The sequence below is a fragment of the Homo sapiens genome, chromosome 2 (genome assembly GCF_000001405.40).
Source record: "Homo sapiens chromosome 2, GRCh38.p14 Primary Assembly".
In the NCBI taxonomy this organism is placed as follows: Eukaryota; Metazoa; Chordata; class Mammalia; order Primates; family Hominidae; genus Homo; species Homo sapiens.
Genome location: NC_000002.12, coordinates 209,496,377 through 209,514,766, shown reverse-complemented (window position 1 = coordinate 209,514,766; position 18,390 = coordinate 209,496,377). Strand labels below are relative to the sequence as shown.

The 18,390-nt window shown below is 36.6% G+C and overlaps 1 protein-coding gene across 35 annotated transcripts in view; it reads right to left on the bottom strand.

The window, feature by feature from the left end:
- MAP2 (microtubule associated protein 2) overlaps positions 1-18,390 on the bottom strand; it is a 310,066-nt gene that overhangs the window by 219,346 nt on the left and 72,330 nt on the right. For 31 of the 35 annotated variants that reach the window (NM_001375493.1, NM_001375501.1, NM_001375503.1 and 28 more), the window contains one exon: positions 7,126-7,175. The exons of the other annotated variants lie outside the window; for them this stretch is intronic. The gene's annotated coding sequence lies outside the window, so the exon portion shown is untranslated. The remainder of the gene's footprint in view (positions 1-7,125; positions 7,176-18,390) is intronic. 35 annotated transcript variants of the gene reach the window in all.

Genomic DNA, 18,390 nt, shown 5'->3' with positions numbered 1-18,390 from the left:
GTTGATTTATAGAGGAACAAGAGAGTTTATCCCTTGTACTACTATGCAGTTCTTATTCTGCAATAAGTAGAATATAAAGAATTTCTTACATAATAAAGAAATTCATTAATTTTATTTTTAAATCTTCCAAACTACCCTAATAAGATATAAGGCCTATATTTAGGTTATAATACTTTTTAATGACATAAATGGGCTGCAAAGAGATCAGCTGTGTTATTCTTTGGAATGGGATTCTTTTTTACAGATGAATTTAGGAAAAGAATAAAGATTAGCTGGTCAGTGAATTAAATCCACAGAACTGATTTCATAAGCATGGGGTTTGTATGAAAACATAGCCAGTGGTTGTCTTTTGCAGCCATTTGATACTACATTTAATTAAGGAATAAAGAATGAGCTAGAGCATTCTTTTCCCACATGAAAAAAAAAGGGAGGACTTTAAACAATAATCACCCCAAAGACATTTGAAGCTGCAATAATTATTAGGTTTAATTTGGGAAACTTAGAAAACTTATGAAAAAGGTGATTATTTTGTCATTTTATTTTATTCCTACATTTAGCATAGTATATTAATATCTTTGTATTAAAAAAACATATCCAGGATTCTAATGATTAGATTTACATATGATACAAAGTGACTTTGAGATTCTGGAAAGATTTATAGAATGGCCAATTATTTGTTTACTACTTTAAGGAGAAATACAAGGCTTCCAGAATCACATTTCAAACTGAAAAGACCATTTAATCCTTAGGATAATTTACTTTCTCTTGTGAAGCTTTCTGAAATTTGATGCATCATAAATATGTATTTTTTCCTTTTAATGGTAATCATTTCCTAGATTTTGGACAAAAACGTGACTATCAAAGAATTAGCTCATGACATAATTTAGAAGAGGAGAGGTGGGGAGGGGGTTGAAGTGAGGATGGCAGACAAACTTGCTATCCCTCCTCATTTGTTCACATGACCTAATGAAGAATCTTGGGGATACGTGCTTCCAGAATTGCTTTCATTTTGACAGCCTGACATCCTGAGGAAATAGGCTTGTTGATGCCATGAAAGATGAATACAAAAATACTACCCACTGGAAGAATCTTAAAGAACAAGTATTGGATCTGTGGTGTTTTTTTGTTTTTTGTTTTTTCAAGAGAGAAAGATAGGGGGCCGAGAGAGGATACAGTGATTAATGATTATTAAAACATACACACATATACGCACATATATGTAGCTCTATAGTCTTCATATGTAATACAATTGTTTATATTCTGTTTTGCAATTTTATAATTGTTTGTTATATAATGAATGTCTTTAAAATTCATTATATAAGCATTTCCTAAGTGTCCATTTCCTCCAAGGCCCTATTGAGACAGCACGCATAAGTGTAAAGGCCCCAGTTTCTCCTTAAAAAGCCTATGGGCTGCTAGGGGAGAATGGACCTATCCAGATACAATCATAACATGAAGCATAACAAGTCTATAAGAAATGTGTGAAGCAACATGAAGCAAGTTGGAAGAGAAATATAGCGTCTCCCTGAGAAGGTACTGGAAGTTGACCAAGAAGCTAATCAAAATTTTGTCTTGATTCTGGAAAGCTCAAAGCACTGAAGCTTACTGGTTAGACATTAAGAACATCCGCCTCTCCCCACTTCCTATTTCATTAGAGTATTAGCATTTTCTACACTTTTTTTAAGTGCAAGTCTGCTTAATTGTGCAATATGCTGTTTAGTTTAACAGCATCTTTAATGAACCATATAATACTACTCAACAGAGCATAGAGAAATTACTTTCTGGCCAGTTTAAAATACAGTATAAAATTCTATAAATTGGACTGCGTGCAGTGTCTCATGCCTGTAATCTCATCACTTTGGAAAGCCAAGGCAGGAGGGTCACTTCATGTCAGATCAAGACCAGCCTGGGCAACATAGAGAGACCCTGTCTGTATAAAAGGCATAAAATAAAAAATTAGCTGGGTGTGCTGGTGCATGCTACCACAGTCCTAGCTACTCAGGAGGCTGAGGCAGGAGAATCACTTGAGCTTAGAAGTCTGAGTTTATACTAAGCTATGATTGTACCACTCCATTCCAGTCCGGGCAACAGAGTGAGGCCCTATCTCTATAAAAGAAATATTTTTTAAATTTATATATATCATACATTTTATATATATATGTGTTTGTGTGTGTGTGTGTGTGTGTGTGTGTGTGTGTGTGTGTGTGTGTATAACTTCTGGCTTCTTTCATTAATATATTTTGAAGCTTTTATAACAATAATTTAAAGATCCTCATTCATTTTATTTTCTGTTTTAAGAGAAGCGTCAGAATTTATTACACATGTAAAATCTAGAAAAAAAGACTTTAATAGAGAATTTGTTTGTTTGTTTGTTTTCAAGGATCAATGGAACAAACACTCCTATTTATTTAGCAATCCCCATATGCCAGACATTGTTCTAAGAGTCTTTTTTTGCATTAAAATGTAATTTATTTATTATAATTTACATATTTATCAGACACAAGGTGGTGTTTTGATACAAGTATACAATATGTAATAATCAAAGTAATTAGCATATTTTGATAGAGGGCTTAAAAGTGGACTAAAAGTTACAATTTTTAAGACTCATAATAATATCTCATTTAATCTTGAAATGAAGTATAAGTTATTTTTGTTTCCATTTTACAGATAATAAAATCAGAGGGCTTGACCAAGGAATACCACAAGCAGCTTAGCAGTCTAGAAGTATAGAGGGCATCAGAGGTTAAGCCAGAGGAAAAGATTAGAATTAGGAGGAAGGACTAGATCCAGGTAGAAAAGAAGCACAACATCCACCCTGTTCTGGAGCACTGGATCAAAATCAGGGCTTGGGTAAATAATTTCAGATAAATATTAATGATTCAGTCATAGGTAATTGACCAGGCACAGTGACTCATGCCTGTAATCCTAGCACCTTCAGAGGCTGAAGCAGGAGGATCGCTTTAAGCCAGGAGTTTGAGACAAGCCTGGGCAACAAAGCGAGACTCAGTCTCTACAAAAAATAAAAAATATAGCCAGGAATGGTGGCACACACCTGTACTCCTAAGCTAATCAGGAGGCTGAGATGAGAGGACAACTTGAGCCCAAGGGTTGAGGCTGCAGTGAGCCATGATTGTGTCACTATACTCCAGCCTGGGTGACAGAGGGAGACTCCATCTCTTCAAAAAAAATCATAGGAAATCATCTGTTTAAGAATTCTAAGCACCAAGAAAGCATGAATTAATCTAATTTCAAACTCGGGTGCTTCAACCAATGCCACCAGAACACTTTAATATAGTCAAGTGCAATTGCAAAGGCAGGGGAAGTCTTATAGCACTGAGAGCCTTGTGTTAAGCAATGTATCCCTTAGAACTAGGTGTCAGTATGATGAACATGATCCCTCTTTGGGAGCAAGATAGGATAGGGTTGGAGGTAGGGTCTTCATGGAATATATATGCTAAGTACTGACTGCATTAGAGGAAGGATAAAAGGTTAGTGTATAGGATGAAGAAGAAACGGATACAAAATAGCAACAAGTTATATCCAATATTTTCTTTTTAACTTTTGATTTTGCAAAATGAGACTAAAAGACAGTATCAATATAGAAATGTATTTTTTAAATTTTGAGGAGAGAAATTTATAAAATATCTACACTAGCTAGCACACAATATGACATTTCACTTTTAGATTTGTAGAGTAATCTTAGTTCTTTTCTGCTCACAGCATTCCAAACACTTCCAGAAAAGCTACTGCACCTCATGTCACTTGTTGAGCAGTACCTCCACTGTAAGTAAACTTGAGAACTCTATTAAAGAATGTCTCCCTTGTCCCATTCCTTAGGGTCCTCAACCTCTTTCTCAAGAAAACTATAATTAATATAATTAACATGATCATCTATCTTTATAAGAATGAAAATCATTTAGCTTTTGATTCCGTCTTCAACAGCATAAGATCAAATAGCCTTCCCAGGCTGAGAGTGGCAGAGCCAATGAAATTAACATTACCTCGTCATTCTATCTAAAAACAAGTTATGCTGTTTAGATTGATATTTTTAATGATCCATGAGTATTCCTTTACAAGCATCTGTTTCCTATTTTATATTCTAAAATTGAGAATCCATCATTTGCTTATCAAACTGAGAGAAATTTTTAAAATCCTAATTCCAACATTGGCATGGGTATTGCAAATCTCAGACTGCTTCTGCTACCAGTGAAGTGTATATTGGTATATAATTTTGGGGAACATAATGTACACGTTACTCACCTCAAATATATTTATTTCTTTACACTACATAATCCCACTTCTACAAATTGATCCTAAGTACAATGTCAGCAGTGAACATAAACATTTTAGAAGCATATTTATTGCAGGGCTATTTATAATAGTGAGATATTAAAAATGGTCTGCATGTCCAACAATGAGTAAATGGTGAAATAAACTATGAAATATCCATAGGATAGTATATCACAGAGCCATTAAAAATCACCTTTTCAAGTAACTGCAATGTATAGAATAGAAAATTTAATTTAACTTTTGTGAAAACAAACCACAAAAAAAACTGGAGGAAAATATACCAAAATGCTGGTAGCAGTATTAATAATAAAGAAAAAGAAGTAGATCAGAAAAACCAATACACATTTTTTTAAAAAGGCAAAAATTGTGGCCTAAAATGTTGCTGAGAATCAATGCCAAATTTACCTTCCTTGTTTCTAGATTTCATTCTGACTTTTTTTTTTTTTGTAATAACTTTAGGAGATTAAAACACGTTTCCAGTCTAAATTCAGTAATATTGTGTTTCATAAAATCTAAGATGCTATTCATTACAAGACATACCTCATTTACCACTAGGAAAAAAAATGCTGTCAATTTAACTATAGCATCACTTAATTTTACATAACTTAATGTAAAATTACATGCATCACAGAATTGATAAAATATTGCAATGGCATTTCTGATGTCCTATTTTATATACCCCTATCGGTAGCTTTCTTTTATCTGGCAACACTAGTTATTTTGCTCAGCTAACAGTTTTACAGATAAACATGCTTTTTCTGTGAGGGAAACTCTTTTATTTTAAACCAAAAGTAACTTAGTTATAGTTGAAAAAAATGGTAATTTCCATTACATATATTCTGTTTTGATAACTTGGCTGTTTCTAGTGAGTTAATATAGTTTTAAGAGACTTACTACATCTAACTGCTTTTACAAAATGTGATTTAGATAACTGATTAACCAAATGTAATTTAATATTATTTTCATTTCCAGATAGAAGGGAAAACAATACTAATAAATACTAAACCACACATATCCAAGTGGGAAGACCTGGTAATAAGAGAGGCTTAAACATGTTTCCATTTATATGTACACGTTATTTTCACTGATATATTTATTTATTTATTTGAAAATAGGCAAGTCATCTTGACCAAACACACTCGATTTTCGTATTCCCACAACAGAAATCTCCATGTGGAAGATGGTTAGGGGATCAGATTATGAAAAATTTTTGTGCGTTACTGTTAGTTTTTTATAGTCTAACAAAAATCTTTTTTCTTTTCAGTTTTCTTTCATTCTGGTAAGTGGTCAGAGCAAGATGAGATTGCAAATTGTCATGTTTACCATATAAACTATAAAATAAAAAAATCAGGAAGGGAAGAGTTTATTTCTTATTAAAGAAGAGAAAGGAAAAGTTTACCTCTCATACAGATTTATTTATAATTAAAACTTAACTCTGTGCATTGAAAATATTACTGATTCAATGATGTATACTTTACAAAAATCTCATTCTACTTGTAATTTTGGTTTTGTAGGTGGATGGGATAGGGGCTAGTAGGGGATAAAAGTAGAAAAAAATTCAAAAAATCTTAAAAAATTGCACATTTAAATGTTCACAAATCTCCATAGCATATGCAGAAGTGAATAAAAAAGAGAAACTTTAATAAATTTGACCCCGAACTATATAAAAACACTTAATAAAATAATACAGTTTATAGACTTGAAACCAATACTTGTAGACATTTCACCTTTTTTCTTTATTAAGTTTCCAATTATCTATAGGCATAATTTTAATATATTCTATTTGCTTCATTCGATACAGATTTCGAAGATAGGAAAGCACAGTTTGAACCTGAAAAGAGAAATAATAGTAGTTTTTCATCTCTGTGTGTGTGTGTGTGTGTGTGTGTGTGGGACAGAGAGAGTGTGTCTGTGTGTCTGTGTGCTTATATGTATTTGGTTGTAGGAAAGTGAGGTCAGAAAAGGTACATATTTACAGTGTGCCTGTTATATGACAGACACTGCAATCTGAAGGGTTAAACATGGGCTTTAAAGGGAAAATTCCTGATTAGTGTAAGGGCAAATGAAAAGCCAATGTTTTCCTTTATGTTAATTATTAATCAAAAGCCTATACAAAAAGTTTAGCAACAACTGGCATGTTGTTCTTTCATAAGCAATAAAAGTCTTCATTTCATTCAGTGTTTAGTGTTTTTTTTTTCAATCTGAATACATGTTGAAAAAAAATAGAAGGCATAAATAAAATCCCAAGTTTATTGCTGTGAGGGCCTTCTGAGGTTCTGTTACTACTCTAAACTCAGTTAAGCTAGTTTCGAGTCTCAATTAAGGCCAATTAATGAAAGCACAGAACAAAAGGAATGACATCTTAACACTCTGCTAACTGAAATTTTTTATTGAAAAGTACGTTTTCAATTCTACCCTCTTTACGAAATATATTCTCTATGAGTATATAATTGTGGAATTCAAAGTGTTTTCCTGCAAATTCAGGAAGCTGACCATTCTTTGAAAGGTCAGCCTTCCAAGAAGTCACTCTTTTAATATTTCTGTTAATTAAACAAATGAATTCGAGTTGGATTTTTTTCATTATTCGAAACTCAGGTAGTAGTAAGATTAAATAAATTCAACATTCAAAAACCAAATAAATTATACTAATTAGAAAAACAGTACTTAGGGAACCATGTTTGCTAGTAGGCCAACTCCGAAATATATCCAGTTTTTACTAAATTTGAGCTTCTACTACACATTGCAAGCATATTTCTGACACAGCTATCTAAAGACCCATGATGCCTTTATTTTATTTCACAGTTTATTCATGATTGACACAAATATAGTACTGACCTTAATTCCAGCCAGAAGTTATAAGATACTTTGGATTAGATCAATAAAATCTAAAAGAAGAAAAGAAAAATACCCAGTAAGTTAAATCAGTTGAACAATCTGGCTTTTTCTTTCACTAAGGAGGAAGATAAAATCAGAAGTGACTTGTTCCTCACTCCATAAAATGCACTGACTGAAACACATCCATTTACAATACGTGACGGTTATGTATAATACAACTTTAAACTTAAAAATACGTTCTACATTTTATTGAAAAAAATATATATTAAATGCCAAAATTAGGTCCTATTTTTATTTTATACTTATTTAAAGTAGAAGTCCTATGTTTATATTCTAAAACAACCAACCAAAAAGAATTTTTAGCACATTCTGTTCTTAATATACTACCATTGCTCTTAAGAGATGTTTAATCAAAAATAATAAAACTCAGGCATTTTGATCCTGCCATAGACTGAATGCTAGTGTCCCCACCACCCCAAATTCATATGTTGAGATCCTAATCCCCCAATGTGATATTTGGAGGTGGGGCCTTTGGAAGGTGATTACTGCCCCTATAAAAGAGATCCCAGAAATATAAAAAGTGGACTGTGCCTTTATACAAGAGATCACAGAGAGCGCTCTTACACCTTCTGCCTGCCATATGAAGGCGGAGGAAAAAACAGGAAGCAGGACCTCAGCAAAACCAATCTGCTGCTGCCTTGATCTTGAACTTCACTGCTTCCAGAACTGGGAAAAATAAATTTCTGTTCTTTTATGTTTGTTAGAACAGTCTGCACAGACTGACACAGGTCTTTAATCTGATTTAATATGCACAGAGAATCTGAAGATTTTTAGTCCTGGGTCGACAATCAGTCCAAACCTTTGCTAAAGGTAGCAAAGTTCAAATAAGACAATTCCAGTGGTAAACGATCAATCTTTCCAGTGGTCTCTTGCACCTAAGCCTTGCTACTAAAATATGCTGAGAAGTAAATATGCAGAAAAGCATGTTGTCAAATGGAAGTATAAAGAAGGTAAACCAGGGACAAAAACAAACTTTTGTGCCAAAGTCAGCCTGTCTCTTGAACAGATAGTAAACAAAACCACTTCAAAATGACAAAAGAGACTCAACTCGCCACAGGGAGCATCTATGGCAGTCTCTAATTAAAAAGCAAGTTAGGTTCTAGAAGTATGTTTGTGAGTTAACTGGATAGAAAACAGCATATGTTCTTCTACATGTTAGAAATGTTTCATTATTAGACTCCTATGCTAAGCCCAAAAACTAAATTAGCCTAAAACTAGTTATTTACTGAAAAGAACAGTATAAAATAAGACAAAGAAAATACTAGTAAACCACAGAAAATACAACTGAATATGAAATAGTTGATTTTTAATCCTAAGGGCAGGTGTTTAAGAAAAGTAAACTTTGTCCTACAATAACGAAATGATAGGTTGATACATCTGTGGAGATTTTTTTTTAAGTATCTGAGGAAATTATGAAGGACATTTAAGATTAATGCCTTTAGTATATCTATCTTGACTTCCAACTAATGACATTATTTTACTTGGATACAAATATTATTTTTTGGCTATAAAGCCAACAACTCTCTAACTGTCATGGTGGTCCAGGGCACCACTGTAAACTCTCAGGGGAATGGTGAAATGTTTTCTTTTTCTTTTCTTTTCTTTTTTTTGAGACAGGGTCTCACTCTGTCACCTAGTCGGGAGTGCAGGGGTGTGATCATGGCTCACTACAGCCTCAACCTCCCAGGCTCAATCGGTCCTCCCACCTCAGCCTCCGTAGTAGCTGGAACTACAAGCGTGAACCACTATGCCTGACTAAGTTTTGTATTTTTTGTAGAGATGGAGTTTCACCATGTTCCCCAGGCTGGTCTCAAACTCCTGAACTCAAGCAATCCACCCACCTTGGCCTCTCAAAGTGCTGGGATTACAGGCATAAGCCACCGTGCCTGGCCAAAATGTTTTCAATATATGAAAACAAAAACAAAAACAAAAAACCCACAGCAGTATCCATTAGGCAGCACAAAAACTATTAAAGTGGTTTGCAGTTTCAATATTAGATCATGCTACATTCCTTTCAATGATGTTACAGCTTTGCAAAGTTGGGTTTTGATTTTGTTTGTGATATAAAAGCAAATACTGCATGAAAATCAACATGAAGTAAGAATGACAAAAACCTTGTTTCCATAAAAAAATTAAAGGAAATAAGAATGATAGCGTCCAGTGTGACTTCAAGGTTTGAGGGCTGGGCAGTATTCAACAGGCAAAAATCCCATTAGTAAGTGATTGTGGGTTTCTAAGCATAAAATAAAAATAGATTTGCTTTCAATTTATGTGTATCATTTTTTCAAAAGGCTACTAAGTTGTTAGGACTTAAACATATTATGTTAATTAAATGAAACTGTGAGGTACATCTTTTGGCCTAGAGGATCTTGAAAATAAAATTACTGAGATACTAAGGGTGCCATAAACTGAGAACATTTGGAACATTCCCGTTAAGCACAGTTTCTTGTTGTTTATTTTTTGTTTTGCTCCACAAATTTAAAGAGAAAGTATGAGAAATTTAAAATAAAAATACTAGGAGAGTAAAGGAAAAAAGAGAAGAAAAAATATGTCTCTAAAATATGAAGAAAAAATGCTAGGAGAGTGGGAAGGACAGTGATTCAACACACTCAGTGACTGTGTATGTGTGGCTGGGTTGCATGTGCACTACTGTGTGTGCAAGAGATGGCTAAAATAGAATGTACATAAGAACACTAGGCTATGAAAGACAGAGTGGATACACTGCCTATGTGTTCATTTTAATCATATTATCAATCATTATCCCCTAAGAAAAAAGGAGACACTGGAAAGGGATTGTGATTTATATCTAAATATTCACTAGGAAAAAAAAAATGATAGCTTGCACAGCAACGCGAATGTACTTAATGCCAGAAAGCTGAACCCTTTAAAATGGTTAAAATGTTAAATTTTACGTTACATGTTTTACTACAATATAAAATAAGTGATGCTGTTATCCTAGGATCTTGCATGGTGTCTCATACAAAAACCTGCTCTACAATTGATAAATGCATACTGAGCAATGAATACCAGGATGATATTGCCACTTAACAACTCTTTAAAGAGAAAGTGGTTCACTAGTTGCCTGGAGTCAGGGAAAGTCTAACCTGAAACTGCCCATTTGTTTGCTTGCAAGTTTTAGGCCTCAATTTATCATTTGACTATAGCTACTTCTTGCTAATTGCTCTTTAACACAAATCAGCATCCTGATATCTTTAATATTCTTTTAAATAGACTGGATTTCATTTCTTCTACGTGCACTCCCAAATATATACTTTCATAGCAAAAACAAAATGATACTGTGGGATTTTTTTTTTTAAAGTTCAGTTTTATGACACAGGAGCCTGACTTCTTTATGTATTCCATAATGTGTCTGGAAAGACATTCCAACTTACTTGTCCCTCTTCCAGTGTTCCTCCTCCCCACAACTGGAAGCCCCATCTCCAAGAAAAATCTTGCTTAGTCTCTCTCTTTTTTTTTTTTTTTCCAGAGACAGGGTCTTGCTCTGTCAACCAGGCTGGAGTGCAATGGCACCATCTCAGCTCACTGCAACCTCCACCTCCTGGGTTCAAGTGATTCTCCTGCCTCAGCCTCCTGAGTAGCTGGGATTACATGTGCGTTTCACCACACCCAACTAATTTTTGCATTTTTTAGTAGAGATGGGGTTTCAATACAGCATGATTCAAAAACAAACTGTATTCAAAATATTAATACTCTTTTAGGTATGTGAACTTTGTATTTGAACCCAACGTTTGCAGCACACAAAATATCAATAAATATTGTTAAATGAATAAAGGTGCTTACTGTCGTATTTTTTCCAATTCTATGTCAGATTTAAAGAAACAGTTGAAAATACCCTTCGTGGTGAGAATAAGAAAATAAAATCCCATCCTTGTCTTACATTACTTCCATTGAAAGGATAGTCTCTTCAATAAATGGTGTTAGGTAAACTGGGTACTACATGTAAAAGAATGAAAATAGACTTTTATCTTACATCATGCACAAAAATCAACCCAAAATGGAATGAAAACTTAAATGTAAGACCTGAAACCATAAAACTCCTAGAAGAAAACATAGGGAATAAGCTTCTTGACATTGACTTTGGCAATGATTTTTTGAATATGACACCAAGAGCTCAGACATCACAAGCAGAAACAAACAGGTGGGGCTACATCAAACTGTCCAAAAAAGGAAACAATCATCAAAATAAAAAGGTAACCTAGAGAATGGGAGAAAATATTTGCAAACCATATATCTGATAAGGGGTTAATATCCAAAATATAGGGCTGGGCGTGGGGGCTCATGCCTGTAATCCCAGCACTTTGGGAGGCCAAGGAGGGTGGAGTGCTTGAGTCCAGGAGTTTGAGACCAGTCTGGGAAACATGGAGAAACCCGAACTTTACAAAGAATACAAAAAATTAGCTGGGCATTGTGATGTGCACCTGTTGTCCCAGCTACCCAGGAGGCTGAGGTGGCAGGTTTGATTGAGCCCAGGAAATTGAGGCTGCAGTGAGCTGTGACTGTGCACTGAACTCCTGCCTGGGCAACAGAATGAGACCCTGTCTCAGAAAAAAAAAAAAAAAAAGAAAAAAAATCCGAAATATATAAGGAACACACATGAAACAATATCTCAAAGCAAATAAATAAAAATAACCTGATTTAAAAATGAGCAAAGGACCCTGAATAGACATTTTTCCAAAGAAGACATGACAATGGCTAACAAGTTTATGAAAAGGTGTTTAATATCAGAAATCATCAGAGAAATGAAAATCAAAACCACAATGAGATAGCTATCTCACACCTGTTAGTATGGCTATCATTAAGAAGATAAAAAATAAGTGTTGGATGTGGTGAAAAGGAAAGGGAACACTGTATACTGTTGATGGGAATGTAAATTGGTACAAGCGGTATGGAAAACAGTAAGGAGGTACCTCAAGAAATTAAAAAGGGAACTACAATTTGATCCAGCAATCCCACTACAGGGAAAATACACAAAGAAAATGAAGTCGGTACCTTGAAGAGATATCTGCACTCCTGTGTTCATTGCAGCATTATTTACAACAGTCAAAATATGAAAACAACCAGTGTCTATCAACAGATGAATGGATTAAAAAATTGTGAGTTACTATACACAATGGAACATTATTAAGACTTTAAAAGGGAGATCCTGCCATTTGCAACAACATGAAAAAACCTGAACGGCATTATGGTAAGTGAAATAAGCCAGACACAGAAAGAAAAATACTGCATAATCTCACTTATGTGGAATCTTAAAAAGCTGAACTCATAGAAGCGGAGTAGAATGGTGGTTATCTGGAGGTGGGGAGGTTGGCGAAATGAGGACATGTTAGCCAAAAGATATAAGGTCACAATTATACAGGATGACTAAACCTAGAGGTCTAATGTATAGCATGACGACTATAGTTAATAATATTGTAAGGTCTACTGAAAATTTGCTAAAATAATAGGTTTCAGGTGTTCTTATTTTTTAAAACAATAAGTGTGTGAGGAGACAGACATGTTAATTTGCTTCACTCTAGTAATCAATTCACTGTGTGTGTATATATATATATCAAAACATGTTGCACACTTAAATATATACAATTTTTATATAAAAATATTGGAAACACAGTTCTGAGGGAAAAGAGGTATTCATTTTTGACCTGGTGGGCTCAAGCTGTCCTGTGGCTTCTGTTTGTTTGCTTGCTTTTCTTATCTTAAGGAGAGCACTTTCATTTGCAGTGCCAGGAGCGGATGCTTTGTAAATAACTCCCTGGAACTTTTTTTTTTCCTTTTTTTCCAACCAAGCCAGTTATTGAGCAAATAGGTGCAGAATTGTGAAGATTGATGTTGCCCCAAGGCTCAGTCCTCACTGTGAACATCTGCCATTTCAAACACACAGGTCAAGACTTTTTGTGTAGTATTTTGCTAAACAATACCCTAAGCAAAACGCAAATAAAATTATTTTCAATAGGATTTAGCATCTGCTTCCAGGCAGCTTAATGTATCAGCATACTAAAAGCACCAATTCTCCATCCTCTGTCTCTTTCTCCTCACCTAAAAGGTAAGAGAAATGTCACCAAATAATCTTGAGTTAATTGGTAAAGCTCTTCTTCCCCCTTGCCACACTCCTGCCCCAATGAGAAATGACTTCATGCCTCCATATTATAAATCATATTGTGATGGTCAGATAACATTATAAAGCCTATGTCAAACTCAAATAGGCCTGATTATACCTCACAAGGAATACAAGATGAAAATAGCAGACATCTTTTAGCTATTGGATTATCAAAATTAATTGTGAGCTGAAAATTCACAATTTTTATATTTCTTATGCTTCTCCCTTGTTAAAGTTACACTTGAGTTTTCAAATTACAGAAATTGTTACTGCTTAAGTAACAGAAAAGTTACTACTGGAGTTACACCTTACAGAAACAAATGTTGGGAATACTGCAGTTATATTTAAAAAAATGGAAATGTTTTTTGTTTGTAATTCTTGTAATTCTCATATTTTTAAGGTATAGAGTAGGCTTTTTTTTTTTTTTTTGAGACAGGGTCTCACTCTATTGTCCCGGCTGGAGTGCATTGGAATGATCATGGCTCACTCCAGTCTCGACCTCCCCAGCCTCAGATGATCCTCCCGCCTCAGCCTCCTGAGTTGCTGGGACTAGAGGCATGCACCACCATGCCCAACTAATTTTTCTATTTTTTTGGTAGAGACAGAGTTTCCCTATGTTGTACAGGCTGGTCTCAAACTCCCGGGCTCAAGTGATCCACCCTCTGAAATTGCTGAGATTATAGGCATAAGCCACCATACCCAACTGGGTAGGGTTTTTTTGTTGTTGTTTGTTTGTTATGTTTTTTAGTATCATTTAGTATTTTAGGGATCCAATGTTCTTTAACCTTAAAGAGTTCACTTAGTTAGAATCTAGTGGGATAAGGGAGGTTGTGAAAAAGCCAAAAGACAAAAAGCCACGATGGAAAAAAAAAATTCCTATTGTCACAAGGAAATACTAACAGGGCTTTTGGGAGATCAGTGAAGGGGAGAAAAATCCTGTTATGAAGATAAAGATTCACAGAGGAAGTTGCATTTGAGTTAGCCCTTGAAGGAGGTAAGGGATTTTGATAGGTGGAGATGGAGTGGGAAGGAGAGCAATTCAGACAATGGACAGGACAACACAGAAACAAAGTAACAGAAGAATCAAAGCCCAGGGGGTGTTTGGAAAAATACCTAGCCTGGAGTATGACCCATAAGAAGAGCAATAATTGGGTGAAAAGCTAAGTTGGCTCTATATAGGAAGTAATGACCTTGAATGACAATCTGAGGAGGCTATTCAATTAAACATATTTAATTTTGTAGGTGAAAGTGGACCACTGAAGGTTTTAAATTCAAGAATGGCATAATTAGGAAATTTAATCTGGCAATATTATGTAGATTGGATCAGAGAGGGGAGTGCTTAAAGAAGTGTTCAAAAAAGTGGCTCCTTCAGAAGTCCAGGTGAATGGTAATGAAGACACAATTCAGGTGGAGACAGTGTCCATATAAAGGAGAGTGTTACAACTATTGCATGGATATGTGTATTAGTCTGCTGAGACTGTGATATAGTTCTGATGTTTGTCTCCACCCAAATCTCATGTTGAATTTTATTCCCTATTGTTGGAGGTGGGGCCTGGAGGGAGGTGACTGGATAATGGGGGCAGAGCTCTCATGGCTTGGTGCTGTCTTCATGATAGTGAGTTCTCACAAAATCCAGTCACTTAAAAGTGTGTGCCACCTCCTCCCGGCATTCTCCCTCTCCTTTTCCTCCCCACCCCCTGTCTCTCTTTCTGGCTTGCTCCTGCTTTCACCATGTGAAGTGCCTGCTCCTGTGTTGCTCTCCACCATGAGTAAAAGCCCCCTGAGGCCTCCCCAGAAGCTGATGCCGGCACTGTGTTTCCTGTATGGATTGCAGAACCATGAGCCTATTAAACTTATTTTTTTAATAAATTACCCAGTCTTGGGTATTTCTTTATAGCAATGTAAGAACAGCCTAATACATTGAACTGAAGAGTGGGGTGTTGCTATAAAGATACATGGAAATGTGAAAGCAGCTTTGGAACTGGGTAATGAGCTGAGGTTGGAAGAGTCTGGATGGCTCAGAAGAAGACAGAAAGATGAGGGAAAGTTTGGAATTTTTTAGAGACTAGTTAAATTGTTGTGACCAAAATGCTGATAGTGATATGGACAGCAAAATCCAGGCTGATGAGGTCTCTGATGGAAATGAGGAACTTACTGGGAACTGGGGCAAAGGTCACATGTTTTATGTGTTAGCAAAGAGCTTGGCTGGATTGTGTCCATACCCTAGGGGTCTTTGGAAGTTTGAGCTTCATGGTGACTATACAGCATATCTGGCAGATGAAATTTCTGAGCAGCAATACATTCAAGAGGAGGCCTGGCTGTTTCTAATAACCTACACTCAGAAGCAGGAGCAAATAAAAGATTAAGAATTGGAATTTATATTTAAAAGGGAAGCACAGCATAAAAGTTTAGAAAATTTTTCATCTAACCATGTGGCAGAGAAAGAAAAAGCTTTTTTTGAGAGAGGAATTCAAGCAGGCTGTGGAACAACCACTTGCTAGAGAAATTTGCATAATGAAACCCCACCAAACACTCACAGCCAAGATAATGGGAAAAAGGCCTTGAAGGCATTTCAGAGACCTTCATGGCAGCCCCTCCCATCATAGGCCCAGAGGCCTATGAGGGAAGAATGTTTTTGTGGGCCAGGTCCAGGGCCCCATTGCCTGGCACAGCCTTAGGATACTGTACTGCACTGGAAGCTCTGGCTGCAGCCTGTGCTCAAAGGACCCCAGACACTGTCATACCACTGCTCTGGAGAGCACAAACTGCTGTAAGTCTTGGCAGCCTCCATGTGTTGTTAAGCCTGCGGGTGCACAGAGTGCAAGAGTGAATGAGGCTTGGCACCTTCCACCTAGATTTCAAAGGATGTGTAGAAAAGCCTGGATGCCCAGGCAGAAGCCTGCTGCAGGGGCAGAGCCCCAACAGAGAACCTCTACTAGGGTAGTGCCAAGAGGAAATGTGAAGTTGGAACCCTCACATCTGGTCTCCACTGGGGCATTCCTTAGTGGAGTTGTGAGAAGGGGGTCACCACCCTCCAGACCTCAGACCAGCAGCTTGTATCCTGCACCTGGAAAAGCCACAGGCACTCAACAACCTGTGAGAGCATCTGAGGGGTATGGGGAGGATGCACCCTGCAAAGCTAAAAGGGCAGAGCTAACCAAGGCCTTAGGAGCCCCCTCATTGTACCAGTGTGCTGTGGATGTAAGACATGGAGTCAAAAGATATTATTTTGGAGCTTTAAAGTTTAATAACTGTCCCTGCTAGGTTTTGAACTTGCATGGGGCCTTTAGCCCCTTTCCTTTGGCCAATTTCTTCCTTTTGGAATATCAATGTTTACCCAGTGCCTATACCCCCATTGTATATTGGGAGTAAATAACTCTTTTTGATTTTACATGCTTGTAGATTGAAGGGATTTGCCTTGTTTCAAATGAGGCTTTGTACTTTTGAATTAATGCTGGAATGAGTTAAGACATTGGGGAACCATTGGGAAAGCATGACTGTATTTTGCAATGTGAGAAGGACATGAAATTTGGAAAGGACCAGATGCAGGATGATATAGTTTTCATATTTGTCGCCACCCAATTCTCATGTTGAATTGTAATCCCCAGTGCTGGAGGTGGGGCCTAGTAGGAGGGGTTTGGATCATGGAGGTGATCCCTTATGGCTTGGTGCTGTTTTGTGATAGTGAGTTTTCATGAGATCTGGTCATTTAAGAGAATGTGGAGCCTCCCATTCTACTCTCTCTTTCTCTCTTGTTCTCTCCATTGCTTGCTTCTGCTTTGACTACATGAAGTGCCCACTCCTGCTTTGCTTTCTGCCAGGAGAAAAAGCTCCCTGAGTCCTCCCCATGAGCTGATGCCAGCACTATGTTTCCTGTATAGCCCGCAGAACTGTGAGCCAATTAAACCTCTTTTCTTTGTAAATTCCAGTCCTATGTATTTCTTTATAGCAATGCAAGAGATGGCCTAATATAGTCTAACATAACAAAATGCCCTAGACATGTGGCTTACACAACAGATATTTACTTTTTCACAGTTCTGGAGGTTGGAGGGGTGAGATCACATGCCAACATGGTCAGGTTCTGGCGAGGGCTATATTCCTGGCTTGTAGACAGCCACATTCTCACTATATCCTCACATGGCGGAGAAAGAAAGACATGAAGATGGGTGGGGAAATTTAGAGAACTCTCTTTTCCTCTTCTTATGAGGCCACCAACCCTACTGGATTAGGGCCCCACTCTGATGACTTTGTTTAACCTTAATTACCTGCTACAAGCCCTATTTTTAAACAGTCACACGGGCACTTAGAACTTCAACATATGGATGGGGTGGGGCACAACTCAGTCCATAACAGTATTTACAGTCCATACAGAATTTAGGGATTAAAGCCAGTCATGGTGGCTCACACCTCTAATCCCAGCACTTTGGGAGACCAAGGCAGAAGACTGCTTGAGGCCAGGAGTTTGAAACCAGCATAAGCGACATAGAGAGACCACTACAAAAACAATTTTTTTTTTTAAATTAGCCAGGCATGGTAGTGCACACCTGTAGTCCTAGCTACTGGGGAGGCTGAAGCCAGAGGCATATGAGGTTACAGTGAGCTATGATTGCACCACTGAAATCCACCCTTGGCAACAGAGTCCCTGTCTCACACACACAAAAAAAGAATTTAAGGATTCATTGGCCAGGAAAGGCACAGGATGAAGAAAGGAGCCAAGAGAATTTTGAGAGTGTAAGAAAAACAGACTCCCAGTACATTCTTAGAAACAGGAAAGCCTGAAGGGAGATCAGGTTGCTGGGTAAAAGTAGAGGATAATGGGCTTTATTAGACACATTAAGTGTGAGTTTCTGGCAGGATAATAAAGGAAAGGTATTCATCAGGCAACTGACCTATTCATGGAGGGTATGATTTTACGTGATATGCAAAGGAATAAAAACTCAGTATCCAAACAAAACAATAAAGGAGTTAAATTTGTGGTGATATAATTAGGCAAAATATACCAATATAGGGCTATAGGGTCAGAGGTACATGTTCCAAAACATAGAATTAAGTTGTCTAGACAGCTCATATTATTGTATATTTAATCACAC